The 17,603-nt window shown below is 37.0% G+C and overlaps 1 long non-coding RNA gene across 2 annotated transcripts in view; it reads left to right on the top strand.

Moving 5' to 3' along the window:
* The window catches only part of LOC105379117 (uncharacterized), a 122,892-nt gene that overhangs the window by 70,208 nt on the left and 35,081 nt on the right, over positions 1–17,603 (top strand). For both annotated transcript variants that reach the window (XR_001742838.2, XR_948660.3), the window contains one exon: positions 6,596–6,733. This is a non-coding gene — a long non-coding RNA (uncharacterized LOC105379117). The remainder of the gene's footprint in view (positions 1–6,595; positions 6,734–17,603) is intronic.

Genomic DNA, 17,603 nt, shown 5'->3' on the forward strand with positions numbered 1-17,603 from the left:
AAGTAGGCAGAGGGCAAATTCAACTTTCCTCAGCATTTTTGTTCTGTTCAGGCTTCAACTGATTGGATGATGCCTTCCCATATTGGAAAGGGTCATTGCTTTACTCAGTTCACCAATTCAAATGTTAATGTCTCCACAAACATTGTCATAGACACATCCAAAAATAATGTTTATCCAAATATTTAGGCATCTCATGGCCCAGTCAAGTTAATTCTTAAAATTAACTCTCACATTGGGAAAACGCTCCTTCCCCTTCTTTCTTCCCCCTACCCCACCCCCTTGCTCTACCTTCACCTTGCTTAAACCTTCTCATTCTTCAGGCAACTTCTCTCTCTCCTCACTCAAGAAAGTGTATGGAATTTTAGTAAAAGGTAATGGCATAAGGCTAAGGATAATTTTGAAGTCTCTCTAATTTCAGATAAAGAGATAAATCATTATATATGTTTTATATGTATTGATTATTATCAGCAAATATATTAGGCTATAGTTGATTATGAAACACAGTAAGTCATGATGTTATGACTGAAGCATGTGGATTTAGGTCAAACAGTATCAGAAAAACAGTCTTAAAATATACTGGTTGGAAGTTTTTCTGTGAGCAACACTAACACTCAACCAAGACCCCAGTGTGTTTTGCTACATCCGCCTTCCCTTCTTTACTTTCTATTGAGGAGAGCAGTCTATGTTGTTGCTAATATTACTTTGTTGTGATGTCCACTTAAGCTTCCAATATCTTTCTAAGTAACCTTCAATCAATTCTAAATAACTACAAATTTAAATACAACTTTGTAACTAGCTAACATTAATTGCTGCTTTCCACAATTACAGTGTTTCTCAAATGATTATGTCCATAAGCTAGTTAATGTACAGCGCTCTCCATTCTAGCCTATTATGTCTACAAATCATTCTGTGGCATCTGGTAGTGCTGATTTGTGTGTTATCCTGTCACCTTATTGAGCTTTTATCCTGTTAGTGACCCTGCTGCCACAAGCCTCACATCATTTAGTATAAATTAGCTGTGGCTCCATGCTTTACCAGTGGAGTTGTGTGTGGGTATGTTTATCTTAAAAAAAAAAACCTACTGTTTTGTTAGTATCTTAATTTTTTATTTTATTTTTCCAGATTTTTTTCAACTTTTATTTTCAATTTGGTGGTACATGTACAGGTTTGTTACCTGGGTATGTTGCATAATGCTGAGGTTTGGGGCATGAATGATTCCGTCACCCAAGTACTGCACATAGTCCTCAACAGTTAGTTTTTCAACTCTTGTCCCTCTCTCTCCCTCCCTCTTCTAGTGGTCCCCAGTGTCTATTGTTGCCATCTTTGTCTATGTGTACTCAATGTTTAGCTTCCACTTATAAGTGAGAACATGTGGTATTTACTTAAGACCAAATGTTTTCTGTTTGCTTGTTTTTCTTAGAGACAGGGTCTCACTTTGTCACCCAGGCCGGTACAATCATAGCTCACTGCAGCCTCAAACCTTGGGCTTAAGCGATCCTCCCACCTCAGCCTTCCTGGGACTACAGGTGCGAGTCACCAAGCCATCTCACAAATGTTTATTAATCAGTATCTAGCCAAGGTATTGCCAGAGACTTTAATAACCTAGAGCAAAATCCAATGTGTTTGTCATTGGCTGTCACCTCCAGAAAGATAAAGGCATTTGTCTAAATTTAGCGTAGAAGTCCCATGAATGACCCCATCTCCAATCTGGGCCTGTTTCCTTCCATTGTTGATGAATATTTCCTGATATATCTTAAATTTCGCTTCCTTACTGAAATGGTTCTTGGTGCCTCATTCTGAGTCCCCATCACCAGTACCCTTCTTTCACAAAATACTGCCTTGGGGTGTGGATAAAATGGACATCAAATGGAGCGTCCCACTATGGATTTAGAACATCCTTCACTTTGCCAGTTCCCAGTTTTCATTACACCTGGCAATACAGATACTTGCCAAGACATCTCACATTCCATTGATAGTGCTGGTCCGGCAAAATTTAAAATGCATCACGTCTGTCTTTTCTTGTATTCTTTTTGACAGCATTTTTGAAGTATAAGAAATGAAAATAAAATAAGGGGGAATCATCAGCAGAGAAGAAACTGAAAGGTGCTTGCAAAATCCTTAGTCTATGTAGTCTACATATTTCAAGATCCAAATGAGCAAAGGATTACTTAGATACATAATTAGGAAACTTAAACTGGTCCTGTTGCTTTAGAAGCTTTAAAATTTATTTTAATGTGTCAGGAACAGTAATTAGTTATATTTGAATACATAACAATGTATAATGTAATATAACATAACATATAGAATATTATTAATAATATAATATCTCTAGCTCTCTATCTACACACTTCTTACATCAACACTATGGCATAAGGATTAAGGGAAATACGAATTATCTGGTTCGAAGCAATTAATTCTCCTGTCTGAAAAATTAGTCTCTAATTTGTATTTGATGTTTGTTTCTGAATTACTCCTATATGTTTTATTCTTCAAGATCCCCTAAAGGAATTAAATAATGTTAGGCGACCTACTAGAACAGCACTTCTAGTAGCAGAAAATTAGGCTAGCATCCTCCAGAGATTTGCCAGAAAAATTAGCAGCAGAGGGTATAAAAGCAGCAACTAATTCTGCTAGAAAATGAGCAGAAGCGAAAGTACTAATCTTATTAGCAGCAGTGTCATCAGTCAAAACAGTAAGAATGTAGGAATGAGGCTTTGAAGGCTATTTTATCTTCGAGACTCCATTTCTCTTCTTATAAGACCAATGGCAGGATAAAGAATAATGGCAGCAAATGAAACCCAACAGAGATGAAAAAGAAGAATTTTGTCATTCTTCTGTCACATTATTTCATAAAAACTGGGCATAGCTCAAGAGTGACTTTGGGCATACACAGCACCGATTGCCCAGATACCACAAGAAGCTGTCACTGTGTTCAAATTATACTGAACACTTTGCAAGAAAGGTCCCTCCGTGGAGGGTTGGCTAGAGTGCATAGTCTAATGGATTCAAATAGAGAAGCCATGCACCAAGCTCCATCCTCCTGCAGAGAAAACAGTGAGCTTTGGGCTGGTCCAGCCCACACAATCCAGAGGCCATGAAGATGGACCATGGACCAGGGAGCTACGTTCTGTTTATTTACCTCTATCTACAGAGACTGTATTAATATTTTTGCTCTCTGAGTATGTGGCCCCAGGATGTTTGGTGGCATGAGTGCTTCATTTCACCTTTAGTTCAGTGTAAAGTTCTGAGTTAATAAATGCTTAGAGTTTGATGAGAAACCCACTTTTCCCAAAGAAAATGGAATCAAAAACTATATCATAGGAAGATGATCTCACTTTTCACCACTATGTTAGACATAATCTTAGGCTAGGGCTAAATGCTAAAACTTGTTTGTTTACATTGAAATTTTCCCCTGATATGAAATGACCTAAATTTTATTCCCAGCTTTTAGGGCCTCTGGTCTCTCATCTGTAAATTTTCTAAGTCTCCTTCCAATGTTAGCATTTAGATTTTGTGAGTAATCAAGTCAGAGTCACAACAACTGAAGTAGTTAAAACATGTAGACATAGGTGGTTGCATGGAGTCTAGTGAGGACATTTTAAAAAATGGACTTTTTGGTCACCCAATCCCATGGCATTGACTTAATTTCCAACCAGATAGCAATCTCTGGTGACTTGACAGCAGAAACAACTTAATCAAAATGCAATTACTTTCCCATTTCCATATTCTTTGTTGAATTGATCAAATATTCATTTCATGAAACCCAAATAATTGTTGATTTTTTTCCTCAACACAATTATGGAATTCTAAGTGTCAATATAGTTATTCAGGCTGAATAACAAAACAGTCTCTTGTGATAACTTGCAAAGAAAATTGTGGTAAAGCCAAAAGTAGTGCTGAGTAGATGAACAATCCCCCACCCAGTACTGTGCTTGGCACTAGACTGCTCAAAACTGTTGTCTTCCCTCCTCTATATTATCTGCTTTGCATAGGGAAAATCATTGCCTATATCCACAACACTCCAAAATGCTATCAGGCAAGCAAGATTTGCTTCAGTTTCTCAAGCTGGGAGGTAGAGACTGGGATCCCATAGTTGCCTGCTGTGGGTTTGTATCTGCCTCATGTATTCCTATTTTATTTGCTTTTTAAAATAGCAAAAGCAATGATTTTACTTCTGAGAGCCACTCTTCCCTGACTCTTGGCCATGAGATTTAGGTGACTGGTACCAAAGTGGAACTGGCTCCATTCCTGGCTAATTAGCAAGTTCAAACACAATGATTCTTGTATCATGATAGGTGAAAAACTAGTTTACCCTTGGACTTACTGGTAATGTGATTTTCTAAATTCCATTTCTTAATAACAAAAAGAATTCTAGCTCTGTTATTTTAGAGCAAAGCCCTTTGCTGTCTACGCAGGTCAATTCCATTTTGTGTGGCCACAGTGCCACTAAGGACATGGCATTTTTCTTAGCCAATGACAGTCCCATACTTGCCTACAGCTTTGATTTTCCGATATCCCTGCAGGATAAGACACTATTGATTTTGAAGGTCACAAAGGCTAATGCTTGAAAAGGAATACCAAGAAATATGCAGTTAGGGCAGAGCTAGTAGTAAGTGAATGGAGTATAGGAACAACTTTCCCCCAATTTCTAGGTAAGGGGCAGTGGGCTTTTCCTAGGAGACAGAAGAGAAGAATGCATATTTACCTATAAAAGCCTATAACAGTACTGTGAAACAGAGAGAAAGAAATGGCTGTTGTTATTCTGTACACCATAATCTCTGAAGGAATGAAAGAACATTTGAGTGGCAGGCAAATATCCTTCTAGAGCTTTTGCTTCTTTCTTAGGAGAGGCAGTGCAGCATAATGGTTAAAATCATAGACTCCGGGGTCAAACTACCTAGTTCCAGTTCCGCCATGGGTCATTTACTAGCTGTGTGATCTTGGGCAAATTATTTAACTTCTCTGTGTTTTCATTTCCTCATTTATACAGTGGGGATTAAAGCTATCTTACAGGGATTTTTAGAAGGAATTAATGCACACAAAATGCTTATAACAGTGCCAGGCATGTGCATGCTACTGGAAACCTAAATGTTATAAATGCTTGTAAGACTTTCTAAATCTAATATAAATTCATGATATAGTGAATGCTACTTTTATTCTTATGCAGTAGCATTGGATTTTCTTGTTAGTGTTTGCTTTTTATACAAATAAATGTCATGATCACTTCATAGCTTTTAGATTTATGTCTCCATCTCACCTGATCTCCAGGTTCTTTTCTCAACTACTGTGTTTCTGATATTGGCGCCTCCATTATCAAGTCTAAACTCAAAACCTTGAGATCAAAGAGGGGTGACTTTACCAGATTTGAGCCAAGGCTGGAAGCCAGGAGACAGAGACAGAGTCCCATCTCACCACTAATAGTTGTGTGACTTGGAGGTGAGGATGTCTCTGTGCTTCTCTTGTCTATAAAATGAATATAAATATTCCTCTTGAGCCTATGAGGGGCTGTCGTAGGAGTCAGTCTTCCTCGTACAGGGCTGCAAGTGTGGATCTGAGTGGTTCCTAAACTGGGAACTTCCTGAGGTGATGGCCACACCTGCCTATTCACCATTGCATCCCTCTGCCAGGCCACATGGTTGATGCTGAAATGTTTGTTGAATAAGTGGCTTACAGGTAAGAGCTGCTTCAACTCTAGGGATGACAACTGTCTAATTGCCTCAAGGATAGCACACAGGGACTACCCTTAATAAGCATTTATTCTGCACAAAAAAAAAAAATTAGGCCAAATCACTTTCTGGGTCTCTAATATCGTTAATCCCAGTTACTAATTGTCCCAAGTGAAAGCTGAAATTTATTTGTTTGTAATACTGCTTTCATTTTAATTTTAGTCTGACAGGCTTTTTTACATCATGGATTAGTGCTGCATGCAGGGATATGCCTTTAATTTATTTCTGTTCATAAGACTTCATTTTTTAAAAAAGGAGAAAATAATTGAAATTGCTTGCATAAGTTTCAGGAACAACCATGAAATCTTTTGGTGGGCATTTTATGAATGTGTTTATAATAGTTCCTTCATGCAGTCACATTGAGGAAAATATATTGCCTTTATGTGTTATGTTTCTTTGTTTCTGTTGGTAAGTTTAGAATAACCTTTGGCAAGGCTGACTATAGATTATATTCGTAAAGCTATATTGAAGCTTCATTATTCACTGTATCATGGATTTATATTAGATTTAGAAAGTCTTGAAAAGCATTTGTAACTTTTAGGTCTCCAATAACTTGCTAAAAGGAAGATCTTAAATAATTTGTTGGGTAAGGCATCAGTGAAACCAAAAAGGACTTTATTTATTAAGGAAATAGTTGCTGCAACCTCTTGGAACAAAAGCTCTTTTCCTGTTGTATTTATTGTGTTCAATCTTTAGTGTGTGAGTTTGAGAACTAAATGTTTAAAGACTGACATTTGATGGTGGCAGCAAACAGAGCATTCAGATGAGCATTAATTGTTTTGGCATTAAGTATTAATAGCAGATATTTGTTAGCCTTGCTCAATTTTGATAACAATTTTAGAAGTAAAGAAAAATTTGCTTTTATTCAGGTGGAAAGTGACACAACTGAATGATGATTTTCTTGGTAACATTTGGAAGGGCCACGAGAGCTGCTGGGATTGGGCTTGCTGTGTTTCCTTGATGAATTTCACCTTTAAAGGAGCTTGCTGCATGAGAGAGGCTGTCTTGTAAGTAGCAGTTTATCATAAATTGGCCTTGGGGCTAGGCGTGGTGGCTCAAACCTGTAATCCCAGCACTTTGGGAGGCCGAGGCAGGTGGATCAACTGAGGTCAGGAGATTGAGACCAGCCTGACCGACATGGTGAAACCCTGTCTCTACCAAAAATACAAAAATTAGCTGGGGGTGGTGGTGCCTGCCTGTAGTCCCAGCTATTCAGGATGCTGAGGCGGGAGAATTGCTTGAACCTGAGAGGTGGAGGTTGCAGTGAGCCAAGATTGTGCCACTGCACTGCAGCCTAGGCAACAGAGCGAGACTCCGTCTCAATTAAAAAAAAAAAAAATGGCCTTCATAACCATTTTTGTTCCAAAGAGCTTTGGAACAAAAGCCCTTTTCCTGTCATATTTATTGTGTTCAATCTCTAGTGTGTGAGTTTGAGAACTAAATGTTTGAAGACTGAAATTTGATGGTGGCACCAAACAGCATTCAGATGAGCATTAATTTTTTTGGCATTAAGTATTAATAGAAGATATTTGTTATGATACTTTACCTATATAGTATATATTACATTAAATTTATGATATATGTATTTGAGAACTTTATAAACGCCTCTGGCTTATTAAATAGATAACAAAAATAAACGTGTTTGTAAGCCTTGAGACATCTTAAATTCAGTCTGGATTTGTGAAATCCAGAGAAGGACTCTATTGAAAAGTTGTGCCACAAATGGGGCAAAAAAATCACTCTCACTGGGCTTGCCATGAATAGTGAACATCAGAAGTGCAACTGAATTGGGCCACATTCATCCACTGAACAAATATTAAATGCAAACTCTGAGCCTCAAGTCTCCATTAAAAGTGGAAGGAAAGGCAAGAACCAGCCTATAGAGTCCTACTTTGATTTTTCTAGTGGTTGTATAGTTAAAATTTCAAGGTATGCAGTACATAATGGGAATATTATTCCTTCATGCCACACTTATTAAACCTTACCATAACAAATCCCCTGAAGTAAGGGCATGAAAGCAGGAAGAAAATCCAGTCCCAAGCCTCAAGATTATGGCAATTACTCGGAGTGTAGAAATAATATGGAAAAACACAAACAGTGTTGGTCCAAAAACCTGAAGCAGGAGATCACTAAATCCTGACTTTATTTCTTCTTTTTACATACAGTCTAAGTGGTAAAAGCTGCTGCAGGTCTGGGCAGTGCTTCCAACTATGATTTCATTGGGCCCTTCAAGTTCATTTCTGTTTACTGGGCTTCCCTCCATGTTGTGCCTGCCCAAGAGGAACTCAACTACCCTTTTTTAAAAAACAGCCTGCAGTCTCCAAGAAGCCTCGTCAGTCCAGTTGTTCTCTCTGGCAAGAAGCCGAGCTACAGGCTCTGGCTTTGGCCATGTGCCTGTTCACAGGCTTCTTGACTTCTCTGCACTCAGCCATAGCTTATGAGCCACATCATGGCCTATGCATTGTGCTGTTTGCTTCCTTTTCTGGTCCTGCTTGTCTCTGGGAAAGAGATGTGATGTGTCCTGTATTTGTTGACTATAGTCCACGGCATGTCTGACTTTAACTCATCTCCTTCACTTGTCTTGATGCAGCATTTGGTACAGTAAAGTAGGAGGACAAGGTCTGACCCTACCTTTGCTGTTTATAGGAGCTGTGCAATCTTGCAAAACAGTTAACCCTCCCAGCCATCCACTTAAAAATTTGTTTAGAAATATATTGTTTTAGAGATGGGGTCTCACTCTACTGCCAGTGGAGTGCAGTTGGTGTGATCATAGCTCACTACAACCTTGAACCCCTGAGCTGAAGCAATCCTCTTGGCTCAGCCTCCTAAGTAGCTCTGACTACGGGCATGTGCCAACATGCCTGGCTAATGCTTAAAATTTTTTTGTAGCAATGGGGTCTCACTGTCTTGTTCAGGCTGGTCACAAACTCCTGGCCTCAAGCAATCCTCCCACCTCAGCTTCCCAAAATGCTGGGATTATAGGCATGAACCACTGCGCCTGGCCAGTCCTCCAACTTTAAAGGGGATAACAGTTTTTAACTTCATCTGATTGCTATGAGGACTAAACGAGCTAGTTTAGGTAAAATGCTCAGCATATAATTGTGCTCAATACATTTTAGTTAGCATCTCTTCCATTCCAGTTCCCCACTCTAATTAGCCAACCTCCATACTTGTGCACCTGAACAATTTACCAGTTTAGCTCCTAAATATTCACTTATTACACTCATCAACCAAGCTTCCTCCAGCCCTCCACAGACAGCCCCAGGCCCCTTGCCTGTTGTCAGTCAGGGAAGGGGGCAGTTTCCATTACCCATCCACTGTTCATGAAATGAAAGTGGTTCCCACAGACAAGCTCATGCATCTTATACACAATCAGCGCTCAAAAAGTGATTATTCAAATGAAGGGGATGATGGGTATAGGAATGAAGGTTTAGCTCAGGCTAATCCCTGATGGAGCACTCATATGCCAGGCACTAAGCTGGGTAATGAATAAACCAGGTGTGGATCCAGTTGTCCTGGGGCTTTCAGGACAACTTTTTTCTTTGTTTTGTAATTCCTCTAAACACCAAGTAAAATGGTTTACATGCAATGGATTTTGATAAACTTGTTGACTCTAAGATCAGTTAACAGGGAGCCAGAACAGAATTCTTATGGCAACAAGCATGTGTCCCCTTGGTTAAGTGACTTACCTGTGTTGGGTTTCTGATTCCTTATCTGTATGATGATAGGCTTGGCCTATGTTGTCTTCAGAGATCCCTGGGTGTTCTAAATGGTTGTAAAATTTTAAGATAATGTTGAGGCAGGTACACTAGGGTAAACTGTGTTTTAAGTGAGGGGGTAGGACTTTGAAAAATAAGATAAATTACCATAGCATTTCTGAAAGGAACATGAAAGTCTTTAGGATCAGTTTCATAGATTGATTTTGAGTTATCATGGCCTCAGTGATAAGATTTTTGTTTCAAAATTAGAATATAAAAATTAAAAATGAATTAAGCTGACATCAGGTACAGCATGGAGTTAACACTGGGTCATTTAAAGCAGCTGATATGAAATTTTAGTTTCTCTATAAATATTTGGTGACAAAGTCTCTTTTCTTCCCGAGAAAGGTAAATATGCCCCTTATCCAAAAACCACTACATAAAGGGTAAAATTATTCACAAAACTTACCTCAGTATGAGTCTGAGGTAATGATTTCCATGGACAATTAGGTGTATGGATCCAAGTTTTCTACAAATTATACATATTTGTATTTACAGTGTGATTTGTGTTTATTAAATGACTGTTGATTGAGAGAAAAGTATATATTATATAATCCATGCTTCTATGATTAAAAAAACAACCTAAATCCCACCATAATCAATTTTGTTAAGTGCAGAAATGTCAGGGAAAGTATATTATAGGTCCCCCCATTTTTTCCTTATATCAATATTTGAAGTTGGGTTATACCCACACAGACCTTTAAGAAACCTAAAAGGTAGTTCATTAAAAATTACAAAGTCAGGAAACAACAGGTGCTGGAGAGGATGTGGAGAAATAGGAACACTTTTACACTGTTGGTGGGACTGTAAACTAGTTCAACCATTGTGGAAGTCAGTGTAGCGATTCCTCAGGGATCTAGAACTAGAAATACCATTTGACCCAGCCATCCCATTACTGGGTATATACCCTAATGACTATAAATCATGCTGCTATAAAGACACATGCACACGTATGTTTATTGTGGCATTATTCACAATAGCAAAGACTTGGAACCAACCCAAATGTCCAACAATGATAGACTGGATTAAGAAAATGTGGCACATATACACCGTGGAATACTATGCAGCCATAAAAAATGATGAGTTCACGTCCTTTGTAGGGACATGGATGAAATTGGAAATCATCATTCTCAGTAAACTATCGCAAGAACAAAAAACCAAACACCGCATATTCTCACTCATAGGTGGGAATTGAACAATGAGATCACATGGACACAGGAAGGGGAATATCACACTCTGGGGACTGTTGTGGGGTGGGGGGAGGGGGGAGGGATAGCATTGGGAGATATACCTAATGCTAGATGACGAGTTAGTGGGTGCAGCGCACCAGCACGGCACATGTATACATATGTAACTAACCTGCACAATGTGCACATGTACCCTAAAACTTAAAGTATAATAAAAAAAAAAAAGAAAAAAAAATCTGCCATTTTGCAGAGCCTAAAATAAGTGACCTTCTCAAGGTCACTCCATGAATTAATAGCAAAGCTAGGATTCTAATTCTCTTCTTTGATCAATTAATCCCAAAGATTCTGTACTCTGAATGTGGAGCAAATGGTCACTGATCATATTTGCTACTTGTCTTTTAAAGGTGTTCAGTTTAGACAGCTCAGAGTGTGCATACTTTATGGATCCTTGTTTAGCTGTTTCTTTCAGTCAACCTGCTCATTCCTCGGCTATATATTTTATTTCTTCTTATAGCTAAATACTACTTATACTTTTAACAGTTTCCTTTCTACCTTTGTCTTTGTTTCTATTTCTGCATCTTGTATATTTACCTTCACTTATTTCACTTTTGATCTCACTAGACTTGGTCCAAGTGGTGGTGCAGGTCCAATGAGCTCTATGGCATCTCTATTCAGGGTTCTTAGAAGGATTTTACTTTCAATTTTGAAAGCTGGTGCATGTGCATTCATATTTGGTATTTTTTTATTTCAATTATTCTTGAGCTGCTATCAGACATTTAGTGTTGACTGTGGAAACTTTTTATCTCTCTCGTCTGACACTTTGAAGACAAATTCCTTTATCCTGGATCATCCTAGGGAACCACACTATTAAGTACTGGATGGAATGCCAGATATGACCTGACAGATTTGTTTGCTAGCAGTAACCTTTTAAAGAGGATAGGAGGTGGGGGAATAAGCACATAAAATAACTGAAGGAGAAAGTAATTAAATTTTTGATGCTACTTAGGTGAAGAAAGTTGTTACATTAACTGAGGCAGGTGGTTAAATACCAGATTCTCTCATTCTAAACTGGTGAAACACATTGTCCCGGAAAAACACACTTTTCTTCACCTCAGCTTCCTCAAGGAACTAAAGTCATTTCCCACAGCTAAGTGAACCTATAGGTTTATAGTGTCTCAGTTTCCAATATAGGCTAATTTAGCTAAAGGGAAATTAATCACTGGGACACTGAGTTAATAATACACATCCAGAAGAGTCAATGTAAAAATTGATGGGGAGGAGTTCTTCTTCTGGTTATATCAGATTAGCTTGTATCAGACCAACCCTCCTATTCAATACAATTATAAAAGCTAGATAAAGAAAAATGTTTAAAGGCATCCAAGAGTTTCCTCTCTGTGCTTGAGAGAATGTGACGCTGGACAGAAGGGAGGCAAAGAAAGAATCTGCCATTTGGCTCAAAATTTCATCGGAGCCATTTTCTTATTTATAAGCAGCAGCTGAAATATAGAAAAGCTGAGTGGTGCTTTTGGCAGGCTCACGGAGATGATGAGGTAAAAATTGGAGTATAAGACCCAAGGAAGAAGAAAGCTAGTTAAAAACTTCAGACTTTCAATCCCCACCCTGCACTGACTCCCCCGCACTTGATGACTTAAAACTTAAAGTAAATAAGAAATAGACCAGCCCTCACAAAGACAAAAACCAAGATTTGAGTCACCTCAGTCCCCAATTAGATTAAAGTGATCTGCTTCTAACCTAATTGCCTGACAGAAGCTGAAGTATATTTTCTCTAGGCGGAAGGTGACATCATCCAGAGCCTCAAATTATCTCTACAATCTTTCAAAAACAATGTCTGGCATTTAATAAAAAATTAGCTGGATAAAAAAAAAAGAAAAAACTCCTTATCAGTCTGTTTTAGGCAAAGATTTCTTAAACATGATACCAAAAGCACAATCTATCAAAGAACAAATTGATATATTGAACGTCCTTAAAAATGAGACCTTTTGTTTTTCAGAAGACATTGTTAAGAGAATGAAAAGACAGCTACAGAATGAGAGAAAATATTTGCAAATCACATTTCTGATAAAGGACTTGTATCCAAAATATGTAAAGAACTCACAAAACACAATAATAGAAAAGAAGGAATTCAATTTTTTTAAATGGGCAAAAGTTTTGAAAGGACCCTTCACTAAAAACAATATGTAGATGACAACTAAGCACATAAAAATGTTCAAAATTCATATCCTTCGCCCACTTTTTGATGGGGTTGTTTGTTTTTTTCTTGTAAATTTGTTTGAGTTCATTGTAGATTCTGGATATTAACCCTTTGTCAGATGAGTAGGTTGCGAAAATTTTCTCCCATTTTGTAGGTTGCCTGTTCACTCTGATGGCAGTTTCTTTTGCTGTGCAGAAGCTCTTTAGTTTAATTAGATCCCACTTGTCAATTTTGGCTTTTGTTGCCATTGCTTTTGGTATTTTAGACATGAAGTCCAGAAGACATTTATGCAGCCAAAAAACACATGAAAAAATGCTCATCATCCCTGGCCATCAGAGAAATGCAAATAAAAACCACAATGAGATACCATCTCACACCAGTTAGAATGGCGATCATTAAAAAGTCAGGAAACAACAGGTGCTGGAGAGGATGTGGAGAAATAGGAACACTTTTACACTGTTGGTGGGACTGTAAACTAGTTCAATCATTGTGGAAGTCAGTGTGGCGATTTCTCAGGGATCTAGAACTAGAAATACCCTTTGACTCAGCCATGCCATTACTGGGTATATACCTAAAGGATTATAAATCATGCTGCTATAAAGACACATGCACACATATGTTTATTGTGGCACTATTCACAATAGCAAAGACTTGGAACCAACCCAAATGTCCAACAACGATAGACTGGATTAAGAAAATGTGGCACATATACACCATGGAATACTATGCAGCCATAAAAAATGAAGAGTTCATGTCCTTTGTAGGGACATGGGTGAAACTGGAAACCATCGTTCTCAGCAAACTATCGCAAGGAAAAAAAACCAAACACCACATGTTCTCACTCATAAGTAGGAATTGAAAATGAGAACACATGGACACAGGAAGGGGAACATCACACTCCGGGGACTGTTGTGGGGTGGGGGGAGGGGGGAGGGATAGCATTAGGAGATATACCTAATGCTAAATGACGAGTTAATGGGTGCAGCACACCAACATGGCACATGTATATATATGTAACAAACCTGCACATTGTGCATATGTACCCTAAAACTTAAAATATAATAATAATAAAATAAAAAAATTAAAAAAATGTTCAAAAATTTTAGTCATTAAGGAAATTTAAGTCAAAATCACAAGATATTACCAAACACCAGTTATAATGGCCAAAAAATAGACAAAACCAAATATTTGCAAGGATGTGAAGTTGCTGGTACTGTCATATATTGCTGGTGGGAAGAATGGTACAGCCACTTCGGAAAACAAAATTCGCTGTTTCTTATGAAATTGTGCATACACTTAAAATATGACCTAGCAATCCTATGCCTTTCTTATTTTCCCAAGTTAAATGAAAATTTGTATTTATAACAAAACCTATAATGTGTATAGTGGCTTTACTTATAGTACCCCAAACTGGAAACAACCCAAATATCTTTCACCTGGTAAGTGGATAAAGAAACTACAGTACAAGCTTTCAATTAAATACTATTCAGCAATAGAAAAGGACAATGTACTGATACGCACAACAATATGGATGACTCTCACGTGCTCTGTGCTAAGTTAAAGAAGCCAGTATCAAAAGGCCACATACATGTTGTGTGATTCTATTTATATGACATTCTAGAAAAGGCAAAACTATAGGGACAGAAAACAGATAAGCAGGGTGAAAGAAGGAGTTGAGCAAAAAGGGGTATGGGGGCGTTCGGGGGATGATGGTAGTTGTTACATGATTATATGTGTTTGTTGAAATTCTCAGAAATGAATTTCTCCTTCTTGAAACATATTTTTCACCAAGACATAAACATAAATAGACACATTATTCACTAAATACAATGAAAAACTCTGGCGTTTATGCATAAAACAAACGTAAGACTGAGAAGTAGAGAGAAAGCATACCAGCTAGCGACCTTGGGGCCCAAGGAAAAACACCAATAGTCTGTGATAAGTTATGTAAAAATAATGTAATAATGTAACAAATAATAGAACCACTGGAAAACTATATAAAGGGATACACATTGCAACAATTTAGATAAATTAAAAAGGAATTCTAAAGAATGTTCAAGTAAGCCGCAAAGAGAACAGAAAAAAGAAAACAGAAGAACAAAGAATAAACAAACAGAAAACAAAAAATAAGATGGAAAATTTAAGCCCTAACAGATCAATAACTACATTAATACAAATAGTCTAGTACACTCATTAGAAGACAGAGATTGACAGAGTGGATTAAAAAATATGACCCATCTATATGCTATCTGTAAGAACCTTTCTTCAAATATAGCAAAATAGGTAGGTTTAAAGCAAAAAGATGAAAGATGTATTATGCAAATCTTAAGCAAAAGAAAGTAGAAATAGCTATGTTAATATCAGATACAGTAGAATTCAGAGAAAAAGACTATTAACGAAGACAGAGAGGGACATTATATAATAGTGAAAAGATTACTTTACCAAGAACATGTTGCAGTCCTAAATCAGTATGCAACAAACAAGAGAGCTAAAATATATGTGAAGTAAAAACTGATGGAACTGAAAGAGGAAATAGACAAATCAACAATTATAGTCAAATCTTTAACACTTCTTTCTCAACAATTGAGAGAACAACTAGATAGAAAATCAAGAATGTAGAAAACTCAACATCATTAACCAATAGGATCTAATCTATAATTCCACTGAACAACAGCAGAATACACATTATTTTCAAACACCTATGGAGCATATATCAAGTTGCACTACATCCTGGGCCATGAAACAAATCCAAAAAATTTAAAAGAATTGAATTATACAGAAGAATCAGAATGAAGTCGAACTAGAAACCAATAGTTTAAAATAACATTCTCCAAACAATTGGAAATTACATGACACACTTCTAAATAATGCATAGGTTAAAGAGAATGTCTCAGGGGGAAAAGAAACCTGAACTAAATTAAAATGAAAAAACAGCACGTCAAAATTTGTGGGACATGGCTAAAGTAGTGCCAAGAGGGGAATTTATAGCATTAAATGCATATATTAGAAGATAAAATGTCTCAAATAAATAATCTCAACTTTCACTTCAAGAACATAGAAGAGCGAAATAAACTCAAAGCCAGCATAAAGAAAGAAATCATAAAAATATAAGCAGAAATTATTGAAATTGAAAACCAAAAAAAATAGAGAAAATCAGTAAAAGAGCTGGTTCTTTAAAAAGATCAATAAAATTCAGAAACTTCTACTAAGACTAACAAGGGGAAAAAAGAGAAGACACAGATTACTAATATTAGGAATGAAACAAGGGATATCGTTATAGACCCTGCAAATATCAAAAGGATAATAAGACTATGAACTTTACGTTCATAAATTTGACAACTTAGGTGAAATGTATGAATTCTTTAAAAAATACAAACTACTGAAATCTATCCAATATGAAATAGTTTGAATAGCTCATTCGCTATTAAGAAAATTGAATTCATAATTATAAACTTTCACAAAAGCAATCTCTAGATTCAGATAATTTCACTAGAGAATTTTTATAAATATTTAAAGAACACTTAATAGCAGTTCTATACAATGTCTTCCAGGAAATAGAAGAGGAATGAACACTTCCAAATTTACTTCATGAAGCTAGTCTTACTTTGGACCCAAACTAGACAAAGTACATAAAAAGAAAACTACAGAACAATAGCCTTAATGCATATAGATGCAAAACCTCTTAGTAAAATACTAGCAAATAGAATTCAGAAATATAAGAATTCTATATCTTGACCAAGAAGAGTTTAGTACAGGGATGTAAGGCAGGTTCAATATGTATAAATCATTCAATATAATTTAACACATTAACAGACTAAAGTAGGAGAATTACATGATCACATCAATTGATACAGATAAAACATTTGACAAAAGTTAAAATTAATTCATGGTAAAACTCTCAGGGAAAATGGGAACAGAGGGGAACTTCCTTAACTGAACAAAGAGCATCTACAACAACCTACACCTAAAATTATATTTAATGGTGAAAGATTGAATGCTTTCTCCCTAAGATTCAGGACAGGGCAAGGATATTCAGTCTTACCAATTGTATTCAGTATAGCACTTGATGTTTTAGCCAGTGCAATAAGGCTAGAGAAGGAAATAAAAATCTTACAGATTTGAAAGAAAGAAATAAAACTGTCCTGATTTGCAAGTGACATAATTATCTATATAATCCCAAAGAACCTGCTGAAAAATTCCTACAACTAATAAGTGAGTTTGGCAAGGTTGCAGGATATAAGGTAAACATTGAAAAAAAATCAATGGGCAGCAATCTTTGCTATTCTGTAGCCTCCACTGGTGATACCCAGGCAAACAGAGTCTGGAGTGGACCTCCAGCAAACTCCAGCAGAGGGACCTGACTGTTAGAAGAAAAACTAACAAACAGAAAAAAAAAATAGCTTCAAAATCAACAAAAAGGATGTCCACACAGAAACCCCATCCAAAGGTCACCAACATGAAAGACCAAAGGTAGATAAATCCTCAAAGATGAGGAAAAATCAGCTCAAAAAGGCTGAAAATTTCAAAAACCAGAACGCCTCTTCTCCTCCAAAGGTCCACAACTCCTCGCCAGCAAGGGAACAAAACTGGATGGAGAATGAGTTCGATGAATTGAAAGAAGTAGACTTCAGGAGGTGGGTAATAATAAACTCCTCTGAGCTAAAGGAGCATGTTCTAACCCAATGCAAGGAAGCTAAGAACCTGGAAAAAAGGTTAGAGG

Source organism: Homo sapiens, chromosome 5, assembly GCF_000001405.40.
Source record: "Homo sapiens chromosome 5, GRCh38.p14 Primary Assembly".
Lineage (NCBI taxonomy): Eukaryota > Metazoa > Chordata > Mammalia > Primates > Hominidae > Homo > Homo sapiens.